Source organism: Homo sapiens, chromosome 7 (assembly GCF_000001405.40).
Source record: "Homo sapiens chromosome 7, GRCh38.p14 Primary Assembly".
NCBI classification, from domain to species: Eukaryota; Metazoa; Chordata; class Mammalia; order Primates; family Hominidae; genus Homo; species Homo sapiens.
Genome location: NC_000007.14, coordinates 43,754,775 through 43,769,387, shown reverse-complemented (window position 1 = coordinate 43,769,387; position 14,613 = coordinate 43,754,775). Strand labels below are relative to the sequence as shown.

The 14,613-nt window shown below is 46.1% G+C and overlaps 1 protein-coding gene and 1 pseudogene across 5 annotated transcripts in view, besides 3 other annotated features; both read right to left on the bottom strand.

The window, feature by feature from the left end:
• Positions 1 to 11,266, bottom strand: part of BLVRA (biliverdin reductase A) — a 49,221-nt gene extending 37,955 nt beyond the window's left edge. The window contains exons 1-2 of one of the 5 annotated variants that reach the window (NM_001253823.2): positions 10,654 to 10,708; positions 9,278 to 9,371 (exon numbers count right to left, since the gene is read on the bottom strand). The gene's annotated coding sequence lies outside the window, so the exon portion shown is untranslated. Of the gene's footprint in view, positions 1 to 5,082; positions 5,184 to 6,613; positions 6,758 to 9,277; positions 9,372 to 10,653; positions 10,709 to 11,171 lie in introns of those variants that run through there. The other 4 variants (XM_011515474.3, NM_000712.4, XM_024446867.2 and 1 more) reach the window with 4 other exon arrangements.
• LOC107986727 (uncharacterized) lies at positions 1,685 to 14,547 on the bottom strand (annotated as a pseudogene).
• Positions 10,284 to 10,603: a silencer, noted in NCBI's record as "silent region_18127". NCBI's record gives its function as "represses an Ori minimal core promoter by ATAC-STARR-seq in GM12878 lymphoblastoid cells {active_cell/tissue: GM12878}" and the evidence as "EXISTENCE:reporter gene assay evidence [ECO:0000049][PMID:35858748]".
• Positions 10,614 to 11,003: a silencer, noted in NCBI's record as "silent region_18126". NCBI's record gives its function as "represses an Ori minimal core promoter by ATAC-STARR-seq in GM12878 lymphoblastoid cells {active_cell/tissue: GM12878}" and the evidence as "EXISTENCE:reporter gene assay evidence [ECO:0000049][PMID:35858748]".
• Positions 12,025 to 12,792: a transcriptional cis regulatory region, noted in NCBI's record as "candidate enhancer chr7.1855 targeted for multiplex CRISPR interference". NCBI's record gives its function as "positively regulates expression of the BLVRA gene with high confidence and the COA1 gene with lower confidence in K562 cells {active_cell/tissue: K562}" and the evidence as "EXISTENCE:mutant phenotype evidence [ECO:0000015][PMID:30612741]".

Genomic DNA, 14,613 nt, shown 5'->3' with positions numbered 1-14,613 from the left:
AGATCCTGGGGAGGCAGTATAGGTGTGATGTCTTTTTATGCATAAAATATCTCAGAAAGGCCGGGCACGGTAGCTCACACCTGTAATCCCAGCACTGTGGGAGGCTGAGGTGGGAGGATTGCTTGAGCCCAGGAGTCCGAGACCAGCTTGGGCAACATGGCAAGACCCTGTCTTTACTTAAAAAATTAAAAAATTAGCCAGGCATTGTGGCATACACCTATAGTCCTAGCTACTTGGGAGGCTGGGGCAGGAGGATTACTTGAGCCCAGGAATTTGAGGCTGCAGTGAGCTATGATCACGCCACTGCACTCCAGCCTAGAGTGATAGTGACATGAGTCACTATCTCACATGTCGTCACCTCTGTCACTCACAGGGTGACAGAGACCTTATCTCTTTTTTCCCCAAACTATTTTGTACCCAGATGAGAGACCCTGTCTCATTTAAAAAAAAAAAAAATCTCAGAAGGATAACTAAGACACTGAGAGCTGACCCGCAGGTGGTGGGTGGGGTGGGAGCGCCAGCACTCTAAGTAGGAGGGTGCATGAAGACACGGGAGCAGAGGGTCCCCAGCAAGCACACTCTGCTCGCCCTCCCCTGGCTACCTGGAGGCCCCACAGAGATGCCCTCCCCAACACCCTACTGTGCTTTACTTCTGTTTTTAAGAACTTTCATTCAAGTCTCCCTTGGAGCTTGCACGTGAGTGATAGTCAGATAACAGAACAGTGACAGAACAGATAACAGATAACAGAACACCCAAATGTGAGGAGGATGAGAACAGATGTGAGCCTCTCTGGGTCAGCTAGTTCATACACATTAACCCTAATCCTCAGAACCCTGGCAAAAAAAAAAGCTAGTATTAATTCCATTTTACAGACGAAGTGCCTGGAGTTCAGGGAGGGTAAAGCACCCTGCTTCACAGCCAAGGCACTGCGGCACTGCCCTGCAATTTCCAGACTTTCTGGTTCTAGACTCAAACCCAGGCTGTGCCAGAGGCCTTGACAGGTCCTGTCTTACATTCACCCAGAGAGCTTCAAGGATAAACAGGAGACCTGGTGTCCAGTCCTGTCAGTCCTGAACTACCCAAGCAACAACGACGGTCAAACGGGTCATAGGCTGTAGGCTGAATGGTTGGACTTCATCTCCAAGGTCTGCTCCAGCTCTAAATTGCTCTCTGGTTCCCAGAAAAGGAAATTCAGGTAACTCTTATAACAGGCAGAATGATACCCTCAGTCATGATCACAGAATGTAAATTCTGATTATAGCAAGAAGGCCTATCTGACTGACAGATCAAAATGTTTGCCAGAGTGTGTTGGTTAAAGTGTGGTCAGGAATACACTCTGATATTATTGGGGGACTACAAGTGGGTAGCATCTCTGTGGAGGGTAGTGCAGCAATAGCTCTTAAAATTCCAATCTGACCTAGCAATTCTACTGCTTCCTATTTCTTTCTCCAGCCCCCAAACTACATTCAGAAGAAACTGCCCTGAGTCCTTTGACCTTGCAGAAATCTCACTACTACTTGCTCTCCCTTTCTTTTTTTTTTGTAATTAACATATCTATTTGTAACTAATTTAACTTTTCCAAATTCTCATTTGCAAATGAGATTCATATAGTTAAAACTGAATATACAAACAACATATTAGGAGGATCAAAATTTACACTACTCAAACATGACTCCTTAAGACTGACTTTAACATGTTCTTTCAATTTTATTCAAATCAGATGTCCCCCCTCCAGCATTTATCATTTTAAAAAATGAATTTAATGCTATCAAAAGGTGATGTTCACTTTAATCCTGTTTGCCTTCATGTCACTGTCATGAGCCTTCATTCCAGACCACATACATAAAGAGGGCCAGCACCACATGGCCGGTGACCACGGCAACAATAGCAGCATAAAAACAGCTGTCCTTATTGGATATCCCAAGGGCGCCTCCAGATATATAAGATTTAGTTGTGAAATATAAATAACCCGATAGGAACAGTGATCATTAAAGCTGTGAAGAACAGGAGCGTCTTCAGTGTAGATGCTAATGAGCTTTCTTTTCCGAACTTAGGAGGCTGCAGTGCGTTCAGCGCCACTTTATCTGGGTGCTCCACAGTGTAGTTGTGCTGGCACAGGTGCTCGGTGGCAGGCTACTTGCTTTTCTTTTCTAATGAGATCTTAGAGGAAAGTTTTCCTATAAAAGTGGCCTACAGAACATTACTTATGAACTTTATTGTTTTCCTACATAATCTGGGGAAAGCAAAACAAAAGAAAACAAACAAACGAAAGGATGTGGAGAGATGCATATGCACGAGAAAGAAGCCTAAATGGAACTCGTACACTGGGCATCAGGGGTGTACCACCTAGAATAAGTGGCATTGCTGTTTATTTGTTTATTTTTCAGGGTCAGGGTTTTGTTCTTTAACACAGACTGGAATGCAGTGGCACGCATGATCACAGCTCACTGCAACGTCGAACTCCTGGGTTCAAGTGATCCTCCTGCCTCGGCCTCCCAAAGTTCTGAGACTGCAGGCATGAGCCACTGCACCTGGCCACATTGCTGTTTTTAAAGCACATTCAGCTGGGGTACCCCAGCTAGTTGCTCACAGAGCTGTGAGTGACTGGCAGGACCTGCCATGGTCACATAACTGTAACGGCCAGACAGATCCTTTCTGTGCTGTTTCCCCTTCTGCTTTCAACTCCCCCTTACGATAAGATGCACCGTCAGGAGAGGCAGCAATCCCAGGCCAAGCGAGATCTGGCTCCACCTTCCAACTCTCTGCCTGCCCATCACACAGCTCCCTCTCCTTTCCTCCCCATTGTCTGGCCAGGACTAGTTAAACTCTGAACAGAATCAAGGAGGAACTTTATTCTGTATTTTAATATATCTTAAAATATCTAAGACCTAATCCTGTAACAAAAAGGTTTTGGTTTGTTTAGTTTTCCTTTTTTTATTTAAATTTCAAAGGTGTACTATTTAAATGGTCAAACACAAAAACATTCTATTTTCTAACTTTTAGTATTATGCTGAGAAATATTTTCCCAAAAGACTTATATTAAATAGATACATTTTTATTTTCTTTTAGATTTTTAACTTTTTTTTTTTTTTTTTTCCCTGAGACAGAGTTTCACTCTTGTCACTCAGGCTGGAGTGCAATGGTGGGATCTCGGCTCACTGCAACCTCTGCCTCCCAGGTTCAAGCCATTCTCCCACCTCAGCCTCCTGAGTAGCTGGGATTACAGGCGCCTACCACCACACCACCACGCTAATTATTTTTAGTAGAAATGGGGTTTCGCCATGTTGGCCAGGCTGGTCTGGAACTCCTCACCTCAGGTGATCCACCCACCTCGGCCTCCCAAAATGCTGGGATTACAGGCATGAGCTACCACGCCTTGCCTTAACTTTTCTTTATTTACATTTTTATTTTTTAATCAAATCTAAATAGTATTTTGGTATATGGCATGAGATAAGGCTCTAAATTTACATTTCTCCAAATAGTTGAGTTGTTTCTACATTATCGAATATTTAATCCTTTCCCCCAGTGACTCCACATTTAAATTTTTATGAATACAGTTATTCTTTTTTTCACTTTTTTCTGCTGTATCACAGACCTCTATTCCCATGGTTATAACATACTGTTTACATGATTGTGGCTTTACAGTGTTTCAATACCTGGTAATTCAAGTTCTCTCATTAATTTTAGAACATCTTACCAAGTTAAAAAATTCCACTGGGACTGTGACTATGATTGCATCAAATTTATACATTAAATTAGGGTGAATTAATAAGCCTTCCCATCCAGAAACATGGTATGCCTTTCTAAGAGCAGCCAATTTAAAAATAAATAAATAGGCCGGGTGTGGAGGCTCACGGCTGTAATCCTAGCACTTTGGGAGGCCGAGGCGGGCGGATCACTTGAGGCCAGGAGTTCAAGACGAGCCTGGCCAACATGGTGAAACCGTGTCTCTACTAAAATTACAAAAATTAGCAGGGGGTGGTGGCACGAGCCTGTAATACCAGCTATTCGGGAGGCTGAGACATGAGAATTGCTTGAACCCAGGAGGCAGAGGTTGCAGTGAGCCGAGATCACACCACTGCACTCCAGCTTGGGCAACAGAGCAAGACTCTGTCTCTAAATAAACAAATAATTTAAAAAGAAGAATCTTGAGTTAGTTCCTGAATTATTGCATAATGACAAATAACAGCTCAGGCTGCAGTGACTCACTAGAAAGTTGAAAGAAAAAAGTCAACACCTTTGCAGAAACAACTTGCTTGAAGCAATTTAAAGCAGGTTTCTCCTCCCCCCGTATCTACTGCAGCCGGTCTGCAAAACAGTCTTGGAGTTTGAGCCTTTATTTGCTTTGACTCCGAAACACAACGGGCTCAGGTGCACACAGATGAGCTATCTCTCTAGAGGGATGAAGAGCCAGCCTGTGACCCCAGAGAACAGAGTTCTAGACCTGGCTTGGCACCCACTAGCTATGTGATCAAGAGCAGGACACGGGGTCCCTTGTGCCTTAGTTTCTGCACCTTGAAATAGAAGAGGGGGCAGATGAACTTAGATGACCCTTATGTTCTCTTTCTGTGCTAACATATCACTTTAACCCACTTTACTTCTTTTTTTTGCGGGGGGTGGGGGGTTCTCTTTCGGTTTAACTTTCTTGGTGTCTGGCTTGGTTAACTGAAGGTTTTTAGCTTCTCTTCTGGCTCCGCAAGCAAACTAGGTTGAGGCTCAGGTTGCAGCCATCAAGTTCCCAGGCACAAAGGTTCTGTACAGATAGGGCTTTTCCTTGGTACTCTGCCAAAGAGAAGCCACTCTCTTCCCCACCCCACTTTCCAGCCCCTATCTGCTCTATGTCCCTCCTCTACCTCCTCCTCACCACTTCAAAAGCTTCTACCTTTTACTGAAAGTGATCTTAATATAACAGGAGAGAAATGAGATGAGGTCAATTACTTTCACTAAAGTCTAGTGTATTTAAACTTGGAAGGGCATAATCACGTTTGAAAAGAGCTGCTTATTAACTCAAATAATTGTAGAACAATGTGTAACTCTATTTCAAAATAGGGTTGAGAGCAGAACTTTCTGGAGTCCCATACCTGTTCTTGGGCACTGACCACTCCCAGAAGGTCCAGATCATAACTATGTTCCCTTAGTGCTGAAAGATGATTTCTGCCCAGCCGAGTGCTACAGGAACTGCGTACACAGGCACAACTCACAAGTGCGGGGGCGGGGCGGGCAGGGGAAGGAATGCAAATCTTCCACACGCCAGAATATGTGTGGGTCTAACTTTTGTTTCTAACATTTTAAAAGCTCAATAATTATGCTTTCAAAGATCTCTAGAGAGAACATCTTTCTTCAGCAGATCGAGATTTTTTACAAGCAAGATTTCACAACGTGTTATCTGCATCCTCAATATTAATTACATAAATAATTTTATTCTCTACACTGACTATATCATGTTCTTTCACTGTTTTGTTTTCCTTTAGATTTTTTAAGGCGCTCCAAGTTCTCAGATTTCAGGTGAGGAACTTCAAGGCCTTTTCAAAGTCTGAGGTTTTCTGAGTTTGTAAAAGAGAAACGGCTAAGTTACAAGAAAAATCATTACGTATAAATTTGACTTATATAAAATATTCAACTATTCACTCAGGCATCAGCAAATATTTGTTTTAGCACAACAAACAGCACACATGAGTTGAAATATGGTGGACAGAAAACAAACCTAAAGAAATCCTGTAGCACCTAAAAAGAGAATGACACGACATTACTTCATGAAACAGAGCCAGGGGTCAAAAGCAGTAGTGGCCCACGGGTGCGCAGTATGTGCTTTGTTTTTCAAAAACATTTTTTGCCTATTTCCTTTTATTCCCACAATATCCCTAAGAAGTAGAGCGCCCCCCGTGCCCCAACCTTCATTCTGCAGAGGCAGAAAGACATTGGATCCCTTGCTGATGGTGGTCCCTGGTGGTCCCTCCTCAGCAGGCAGGCTGACTGTACTCTTAGCATCCAGCTGGGTTTAGCCAGTGGAGGAGATCGGCAGGCAAGAAACAGAAAGAGAGAGGCTAGGGTACTTGTGCTCCCCCTGCCTGGTTCCTCAGGCTGCTGCTCTGGCAGTGGCTGCATTCTGTGATGGCCACAGCAGGTCTGGAAGGGAGTGGCTCCTCCAGCAGTATTCCAGCCCCCTCCTCCCAGCTCTGGTCCCCTCCCTACCCCTTCAAACCAGAGAGGGGATGGTGCCCACTGAAGCTCTTCCCTGTGTGCCTCACCATCACTTGTTGGCTCCTCCAATCCTGCCCACTCTTCTATAAAAAGTCTCCTTAAAATTCCTTTCATTTTTATGCTTTTCACTGTTGGGATTCCCAACTGATAAACTTGGCAGTATATCAGTTTGCAGCATCCCTGGCCTTTCCCCACTAGATGCCAGTGGCACATACCGTTTTCCCCCCAGCACGACAATCAGAAATGTCAGTAACAACTACTGGGTTAAGGGCCGGGCACGGTGGCTCATGCCTGTAATCCCAGCACTTTGGGAGGCCGAGGCGGGCATGGGGCTGATCATGAGGTCAAGAGATCGAGACCATCCTGGCCAACATGGTGAAACCCCATGTCTACTAAAAATACAAAAATTACCTGGGTATGGTGGCGTGCACCTGTAGTCCCAGCTACTCGGGAGGCTGAGGCAGGAGAATTGCTCGAACCTGGGAGGCGGAGGTTGCAATGAGCCGAGACCGTCCCACTGCACTCCAGCCTGGGTGACAGAGCAAGACTCCATCTTAAAAAAAAAAAAAAAAAAAAAAAGGAACTACTGGGTTCATGGAAATCACTAAATTATTGCTGACAAAGCTCTAGAGTTTCACATTCCAATTTGCACGTGGGAGAGATGCAAAATCTCACAGTAAATTAATAGCACAGCCAGGACTAAACAGCTTCCTTGGCTTACATTATGTTTCCCTTTTGATTTCAGTCTCTTTCCCACATGCAAATTGGAATCTGAAACTCCAGAGCTTTGTCAGCAATAAATTAGTGATTTTCATTAACCCAGTATTTCTCACCAACATTTCTGATTGTTGTACTCGGGGGGAAAAGGGTATGTGCCATTGGCATCTAGTAGGGAAAGGCCAGGGATGCTGCAAAACATCCTGTGATGCACAGGACACCTTCCTACCCCAACTACACATACACAAAGAATTATCCAGCCCAAAATGTCAACAGTGCCAGAGTTGAAAAAGCCTGGATTACACATCATGCAGAATGAACTACAGCTGTGACCTTCCTCCTTGTTCCTCCTCAAACGCCCTCTCAAGTATCTATTATTGCCCCAAAGCCAGGTGACTCACAGAAGTATGGGGAAGGATTAGGGAGAGGGTGACCCTCTCAGGTGGGGCCAGCTGCCAGCCTCAGAGGTCTAAGGGTAAAGGTAAAAGCAACTCTTGCCCTGGAGGGAGTTGGATACTTTGGGATCTATTGAGAAAAATATAATAGCTACATGGGACACAAGTCTGGAAATATATACATCAAAATATTACCAGTAATTATGTCTCTAAGTGGTGAAACTTTTAGTGACTACTTTCTTTTTGCTTCTCTGTACACTTTAAACTTTTCTATAAAGATTAGTTAACATAATTATTCAAAACTCTAAAAAACATTACAAACTATGCCACTTTCACTGACTGCATCCCTCCTAGCCCCAAACTGAACAGACTTTCACAGGGCAATAACATATCAAGGTGCTCTGATAATGAAGTCCACAGAAAATTTTCCCTATAACTGAGAATCAGGAAAGGCTCTGCTTCCTTCAAGGCCATTAACATTTGGGGGATCAATGAATGAATGAATGAATGAAGTTGCCATGTATGTTTTACTTTCAAAAGACAAGAACCATGTAACTGACCAAGTTTACCTTTCTAGAAACAAATTTGGGACTCAACTACAAAAATATAGGCCTGCAATGACCTATAAGGGAGCCGCTACACAGAGTGGCTATTGGAATATAAATTAATTAAATATAGCACATTTTCATAATCACAGAAAATTCTATTGGATAACACTGAAACACTTCATTCTTTTTTTCCCCTGGAATAGTTTCTTGTACTTATACTTTCTCTCATCTCAATTCCTGGCCATATTTATCTTCTATTTATTTGTTACTATTCTGTGATTTTGTTGCAAATGACCTTAATTCCTTTGTGGATCAATTTGGGGCATTGTACTTTGGAAATATCAGTGTGTATATATGTCACTGTTCCTGAGAGTTCAACCTTCATTTCTGACCATAAGGCAGATCTAGCAGCTCATGTAATGTAGCTATTTCCTCACAGCTCAAAGACGGAAGAGAGGCCGGGTGAAATGGCTCACGCCTGTAATCCCAGCACTTTGGGGAGGCCATGGTGGGTGGATTACTTGAGGTCAGGAGTTCGAGACCAACCTAGCCAACATGGCAAAACCCTGTCTCTACTAAAAGTATAAAAATTAGCTGGTCATGGTGGTGCGTGCCTGTAATCCCAGCTACTTAGGAAGCTGAGGAATGAGAATCACTTGAACCCAGGGGGCGGAGGTTGCAGTGAGCCAAGATGGCGCCACTGCACTCCAGCCTGGGCGACACAGTGAGACTCCATCTCAAAAAAAAAAAAAAAAGACTCAAGAGGACATTGTCAGGAACTAAGCTCCCCTGTCACAAAGGCACTATATTCAGTGTTTTTTTTTTTAAATACACAAAAAGGTATACACTGTCCATTAATGGAAAGTTTCACTATTTGATTAAAGCTTAATTTGAAGCTGAGTAATGCAATGTCTTTTTCAAATTCCAAAATACATGGCTATCAACTTATTTCTAAAATCTTAAATATATGATTTACCACAAAAAACAAATGGCCCAACCTGTTACTACTGATAAATATATGATCATGTCATCAGAGTCCTGGATACGCCAAAGAGAATCAGAAATGAAAATGCGCGCAGCTCCTGCACAGTGGGATTCCCTGTCAGCCCACGGTTCTGATGGAGTGTCGCCTCTACATAGAAGTCAGTGCAATTTTGAGTATTTTACCAGATTTTCAGTTCTAGAAAAAATGACTGGGAGTAATAAGCAGTGTAGATCAAAAACTAAATACAATTATAACAAAGATGAAAATTAATAGATGTGGCCCAAAGTGGCAAATCTTTGACTTTAATCACATGCTAACTGGATAGGCAGGGGGTACAAAGAATAAAAAAGTAAAGATCGGCCGGGCGCGGTGACTCATGCCACGCCTGTTATAATCCCAGCACTTTGGGAGGCCGAGGCGGGTGGATCACCTGAGGTCAGAAGAATTGCTTGAACCCAGCAGGTGGAAGTTGCAGTGAGCCGAGATCGCGCCACTGTACTCCAGCCTGGTGACAGGGCGAGGCTCTGTCTCAAAAAAAAAAAAAAAAAAAAATTACATATGAAATGTGGGAAAACACACTGAGAATTATTCCTAAAAAAGTTGAAGTATAATTAGAGACCCTATTGTAATTTTTAGCTCTCTGGCTACAGAATTTCCCTTCTGATACTTTGTCTAACATTTGACTTGTTTTTCTGGAATGCATCCCGTTAAGGGAAGGATGAGCATATTTATCAATACAATCTTTTAGGAAATAATTAGGAATATACCAATACCTTTATTTCCATAATTTTAATATCTTCTTGGGAATCGTACTATAGAAATTACATTAATGATGGAAAAACTTTCAGCACAGTATTGCTTCCTTTGTAGGTGGTGATGATGACAGCTAACATTTACTGAATCCTTCCCATGCTGAAAACCCTATTGTAAGCTATTTATGTTCGCTAAGTCACTTATTCTTCAGGGCTATCCTACTAAGTAAGCATTATGATTACCCCCACTTTTACAGGTGAGAAAATCGAGGCAACAAGAGGTTGGTTAACGTGCCCAAGATCAGATCGCACAGCGGTATAATAGGATGGAAAACTCCTATCACATAATGAACGTTAAGTGAAAAAAATTAGTATCCAAAACTGTAAGTCTGATGTCTCATTCTTTTTATAATTTAAGTAGTTTATAAATACCCTCATTATTAGCCATATTTCTGAGCACTTCATATGTAGAGTGCACTTTACAGAACACTGTCATGTAACCCTCACACCGTCTACGAAATAAGTGATAGTTTCCAGTTTCCAAAAACGAAAGCGGGGCTAGGAGAGGCCAAGTGCCTCGCGTGGCGCCTCAGGATTCGCCCCAGCGGAGCAGACCCCAGGGCATCCCAGGCGGGTCCCGGCCGAGCTAGCGGCCCTGCGGTGGCTACGCCCGGGCCCAGCCGCTCGCGCTCCTGGAGCCGCCGGACTACGCGGCACGCGGACGCCGAGCCTGCCCTCTTGGGTCTACATAAAAACCGAAACTACGGGCAGTCTTAACCGAAATGGAGACTTAATTTTTTAGACTGTCTTTTGTGTAGTTGAGAAAGCCCCTTGCCGGGACCCGCGCTGCTGGGCCTCCGACCGCGTCCTCACTCCGGGCCCGGGCGGGGCGGGGCGGGGCAGGCGGCGCCCAGGCTGCGTCCCGGCTCTGGCGGCCGCGGGCCCGGGCCTCCTGCGGGCCTGGGGCTTCGAGCTCAGGCCCTAGCGCTCTATGGAAGCCGCGCGCGACCCCCGCTCCCCTGCGCGCGACCCCCGTTCCCCGCGCGCGCCTCACCTGACGCGGGCACCGCTCTCCGTGCAGCCTCCGGGCGCCACCGGCTTTGCGGACCGGGGCGGGATCCCAGCTCCGATTGGCTGCCCGGCTGGGGGGCGGGGGCCCCGAAGCGGGGTGGCGGAGACCGGGAGGGGACCGGAGGCGGTGGGGAAGGGAGTGGACGGAAGGGGAGGGAGGGTCCCGGCCTCGTGCGGTCGCGCGTGAGATCCTGGCCTCTGTGCCCTGGGTCTGGCGCCTGGGGCCGTAAGAACCGTCCGTGCGCCTGCCCTGTTCTCTGCACCCAGCTTGGTGGCGAGGGGTGGGTGGTGGGTGCCGGCCGACCGGAGGGCGTATGGAAGTGGCTGGGCCCCCTCACGGTGTGCCTGGCCCCCTCACGGTGTGCCTGGCCCCGGCGTGGGGGGGGCAGGCCCGGGGGGTGTCGCATCTCTCTTATCCGCCCCCCACTCACCACGTAGAACCCACTGGATCCCATTGGTATTTAGTGGCCCCGGGCCGACTGAACTGGCGCCGAGGCTTACCTGAGTCCTTCCTGTAAATGTGAGGAGCGGAGGGAATATTCCAGGAGGCCGGTGTCTGCGATGTCCTGCTCTTGGGTAGCTAGGAAGTAGTGAACGTGGTCTAGGGAACTGCCTGGGCTCTTATCCACCTGGGAATGGGTTTGTTGGGGATCCTGATGTGGGAGAAGCCAGGGAGCTTCTAGCCTAGTGGGGCTAGGGGAGAAAACAGGGAGAGGGGTGGATTAGGCTGAAGGAAAGAGATCTCTGATCTTAAAGGCAGCGTTCTGACGGGTAAGGTTGACTGGCATTTTCCCCAACAAAGAGTTCTAGTACCGTATTCCATGACCTGACAAGCCTGTTTAAGTGAGGTTTTGTTGAGTGCAAAGAGAGAAGGCTTGGCTTTGAATTTTTATCTCCAGGCGGGACCTGCCTCCTGAACTCCATACTCCTCTATCCAGCTGCCTCCTTAATACCTCCTCTTGGATCTCTAAAATACATTTCAATCTCAACACATCCAAATCTGTGCCCCTGATCTCTTCCCCATAGCATCACCATCTCGATGGCAACTCCATCTTCCAGTTGTCAAGGCCAGAAACCTTGCTGTTTCAGAAACCTTTCTCTCACATCCCACCTCCAGGGCCCAAAAATTCTGTTGGTTGGATCTCCCTAGCATACCCAGAGCCTGACCACTTCTTACCTCTGCCTCCATCATCTGCTACCTGGGTCATGACAGTGGTCTCTTCCCTGATATCCCTGCAGCCTGTCCCCATAAAGCAGCCAGAGTGACCTTAAAAAAAGAAAGCCAGATCAAATTCCTCCTCTGCCCAAAACCTTCCCAGTGGTTTCCCAAACTCAGAGTAAAACCCAAAGCCCTGCCTGATCTGCTCCTCTGTTACCCCTACAACCTCATCTGCTACTGCCTCCCCACTGGCTCACTCTGCTCCAGTCACTCTGGCCTCCCTGCTATTTCTTATGCAAGGCAGACAGGGCTCTGCTGCAGGGTCTTTGCACAGGCTCCTGTCTGTTTGGAATGCTCGACTACTTCTCACTCTTCCTGATATTTTCTCAAATGCTGCCTCATTGAGAACTACCCTAACCACTCCATTTGAAATTGCCACCTGCCCCACTCCTGAATGACTTATTTCTTTAGCTCCTGACTGAATTTGTTTATTTAGCTTATTGTTTGTTATCTGTCTCTTCCATCCACCCCTCCCTGCTGCTGCCCCTTGGGTCATGATATGTCCTTTCTCGGAAAAATAACTGCCACTGATGAGGTACCATATTTTCACTGGCAAGGCCTAGGACATAAGCCAAACTCTGGGGTCTGATTGTGCAGTCACTTTAAATAAACCACAAGAGAAAAGAGTGATTCCCCAAAAGGACATGCTGAGTGCTGCTGCTAGGAGAAGGGATGCTGGCTAGGCAAAACCACAGATGTTCACTTGCTGAGTCAGACCAGTACACCCAGAGGAGCTTTGGGAAAGCCTGTGAGAGGGGCCCTCCATGTCCTTGAGAGCAGAATTTAAAGATGAGACCTCTAACCCCCTCACTTTCTTGTAATGATGTGTTATGAATGCATTGATTTATTTATCTTATCCTTCTAAAGTCTAGTTTTGTATTCAGTTTCTACTTTTTTGAGTAAGAGCTTCCCATTCTACAAAGTAGTGACTCTCTTCAACCTGAAGAACTTTGTGGGAGGTTGGGGGGACAGTAAGACTGCTGTAGGCCACAAGTGACAGAAACCCCACCCAAACAGATTAACAGTTAGGAGGTGTATTAAGGCTCCAGCTCCATTTCTGTGTCATTCTCTTAGCTCTTTTTCTCCTATGTGTAACAAGATATGAAAGTATAGATTTTGATTAGGACAACAAGATATACTAATGTGAAATTCTAGGAAGAGATCTCCAAAGATGTAAGAAAGAATCAGGCGGGAGCCACCTGTAATCGCAACACTTTGGGAGGCCCAGGCAGGCAGGTCGCAGCCTGGGCAACATGGTAAGACCCCGTCTCTACTAAAAATACAAAAATTAGCCAGGTATGGTGGCATATGCCTATACTCCCAGCTACTCTGGGAGGGAGGCTGAGGCATGAGAATCACTTGAACCCGGGAGACAGAGGTTGCAGTGAGCCAAGATAGCACTACTGCACTACAGCCTGGGAGACAAAGTGAGACTCCATCTAAAAAAAAAAAAATTAAAAAAATAATAAAAGTAAAAAATAAAATAAAATAAATAAATAAAAAGAAGGAATTGGAGAGTGGAAGGAGGGTTTGGTGAAGAAATCTCTGACAGAGGCCGGGTGCGGTGGCTTAATGCCTGTAATCCCAGCACTTTGGGAGGCCGAGGCAGGCAGATCACTTGAGGTCAGGAATTTGAGATCAGCCTGGGCAACATGGTGAAACCCCGTTTCCATTAGAAATACAAAAATTAGCCAGGCACAGTGGAGCGTACCTGTAGTTCCAGTTATTCAGGAGGCTGATGCAGGAGAATCGCTTGAATCTGAGAGGCAGAGGTTATAGTGAGCTGGGATCTCCCCACCTCACTCCAGCCTGGGCGACAGAATGAGACTCCGTCTCAAAAAAAGAAAAAAAGGGGCAGGCGCGGTGGCTCACACCTGTAATCCCAGCACTTTGGGAGGCCGAGGTGGGCAGATCACCTGAGGTCAGGAGTTCAGGACCAGCCTGGCCAATGTGGTGAAACCCCGTCTCTACTAAAAATACAAATAAAAAAAAAAAATTTAGCCAGGCATGGTGGTACGTGCCCATAATCCCAGCTACTCGGGAGGTTGAGGCAGGAGAATTGCTTGAACCTGGGAGGCAGAGGTTGCAGTGAGCCAAGATCATGCCATTGCACTGCAGCCTGGGCGACGAGTGAGACTCTGTATCAAAGAAAAAGAAAAGGCCAGGCGCAGTGGCTCACACTTGTAATCCCAGCACTTTGGGAGGCCGAGGCGGGCAGATCACGAGATCAGGAGATCGAGACCATCCTGGCTAACACGGAGAAACCCCGTCTCTACTAAAAATACAAAAAATTAGTCAGACGTAGTGGGGGGCGCCTGTAGTCCCAGCTACTCGGGAGGCTGAGGCAGGAGAATGGCGTGAACCCGGGAGGCGGAGCTTGCAGTGAGCTCCAGCCTGGGCAACAGAGCGAGACTCCGTCTCAAAAAAAAAAAAAAAGAAAAAAAGAAAAAAGAAATCTCTGACAGAGCTTTTGCTGTGCTGTGAGTTTACTTCCTCCCCACTGAGGGAAGCTTCCGCAGCCCATTTCCTTCACTTCATGCCTACAGGCTTCCAGCCATTTGGGGAGCTTGTTAGGTATGTTGGTGCACATGGAGACTCTCTGGTCACTTACCTCCCACCTGAAAAAGGCATGCAGTGGTCGGCTGTCAGCCCACACATGCCGAGGGGTCCCAAGATGCATTTGTGTTTCCCATGGATCAGATATGGGCCATGCAGGAGACAGTG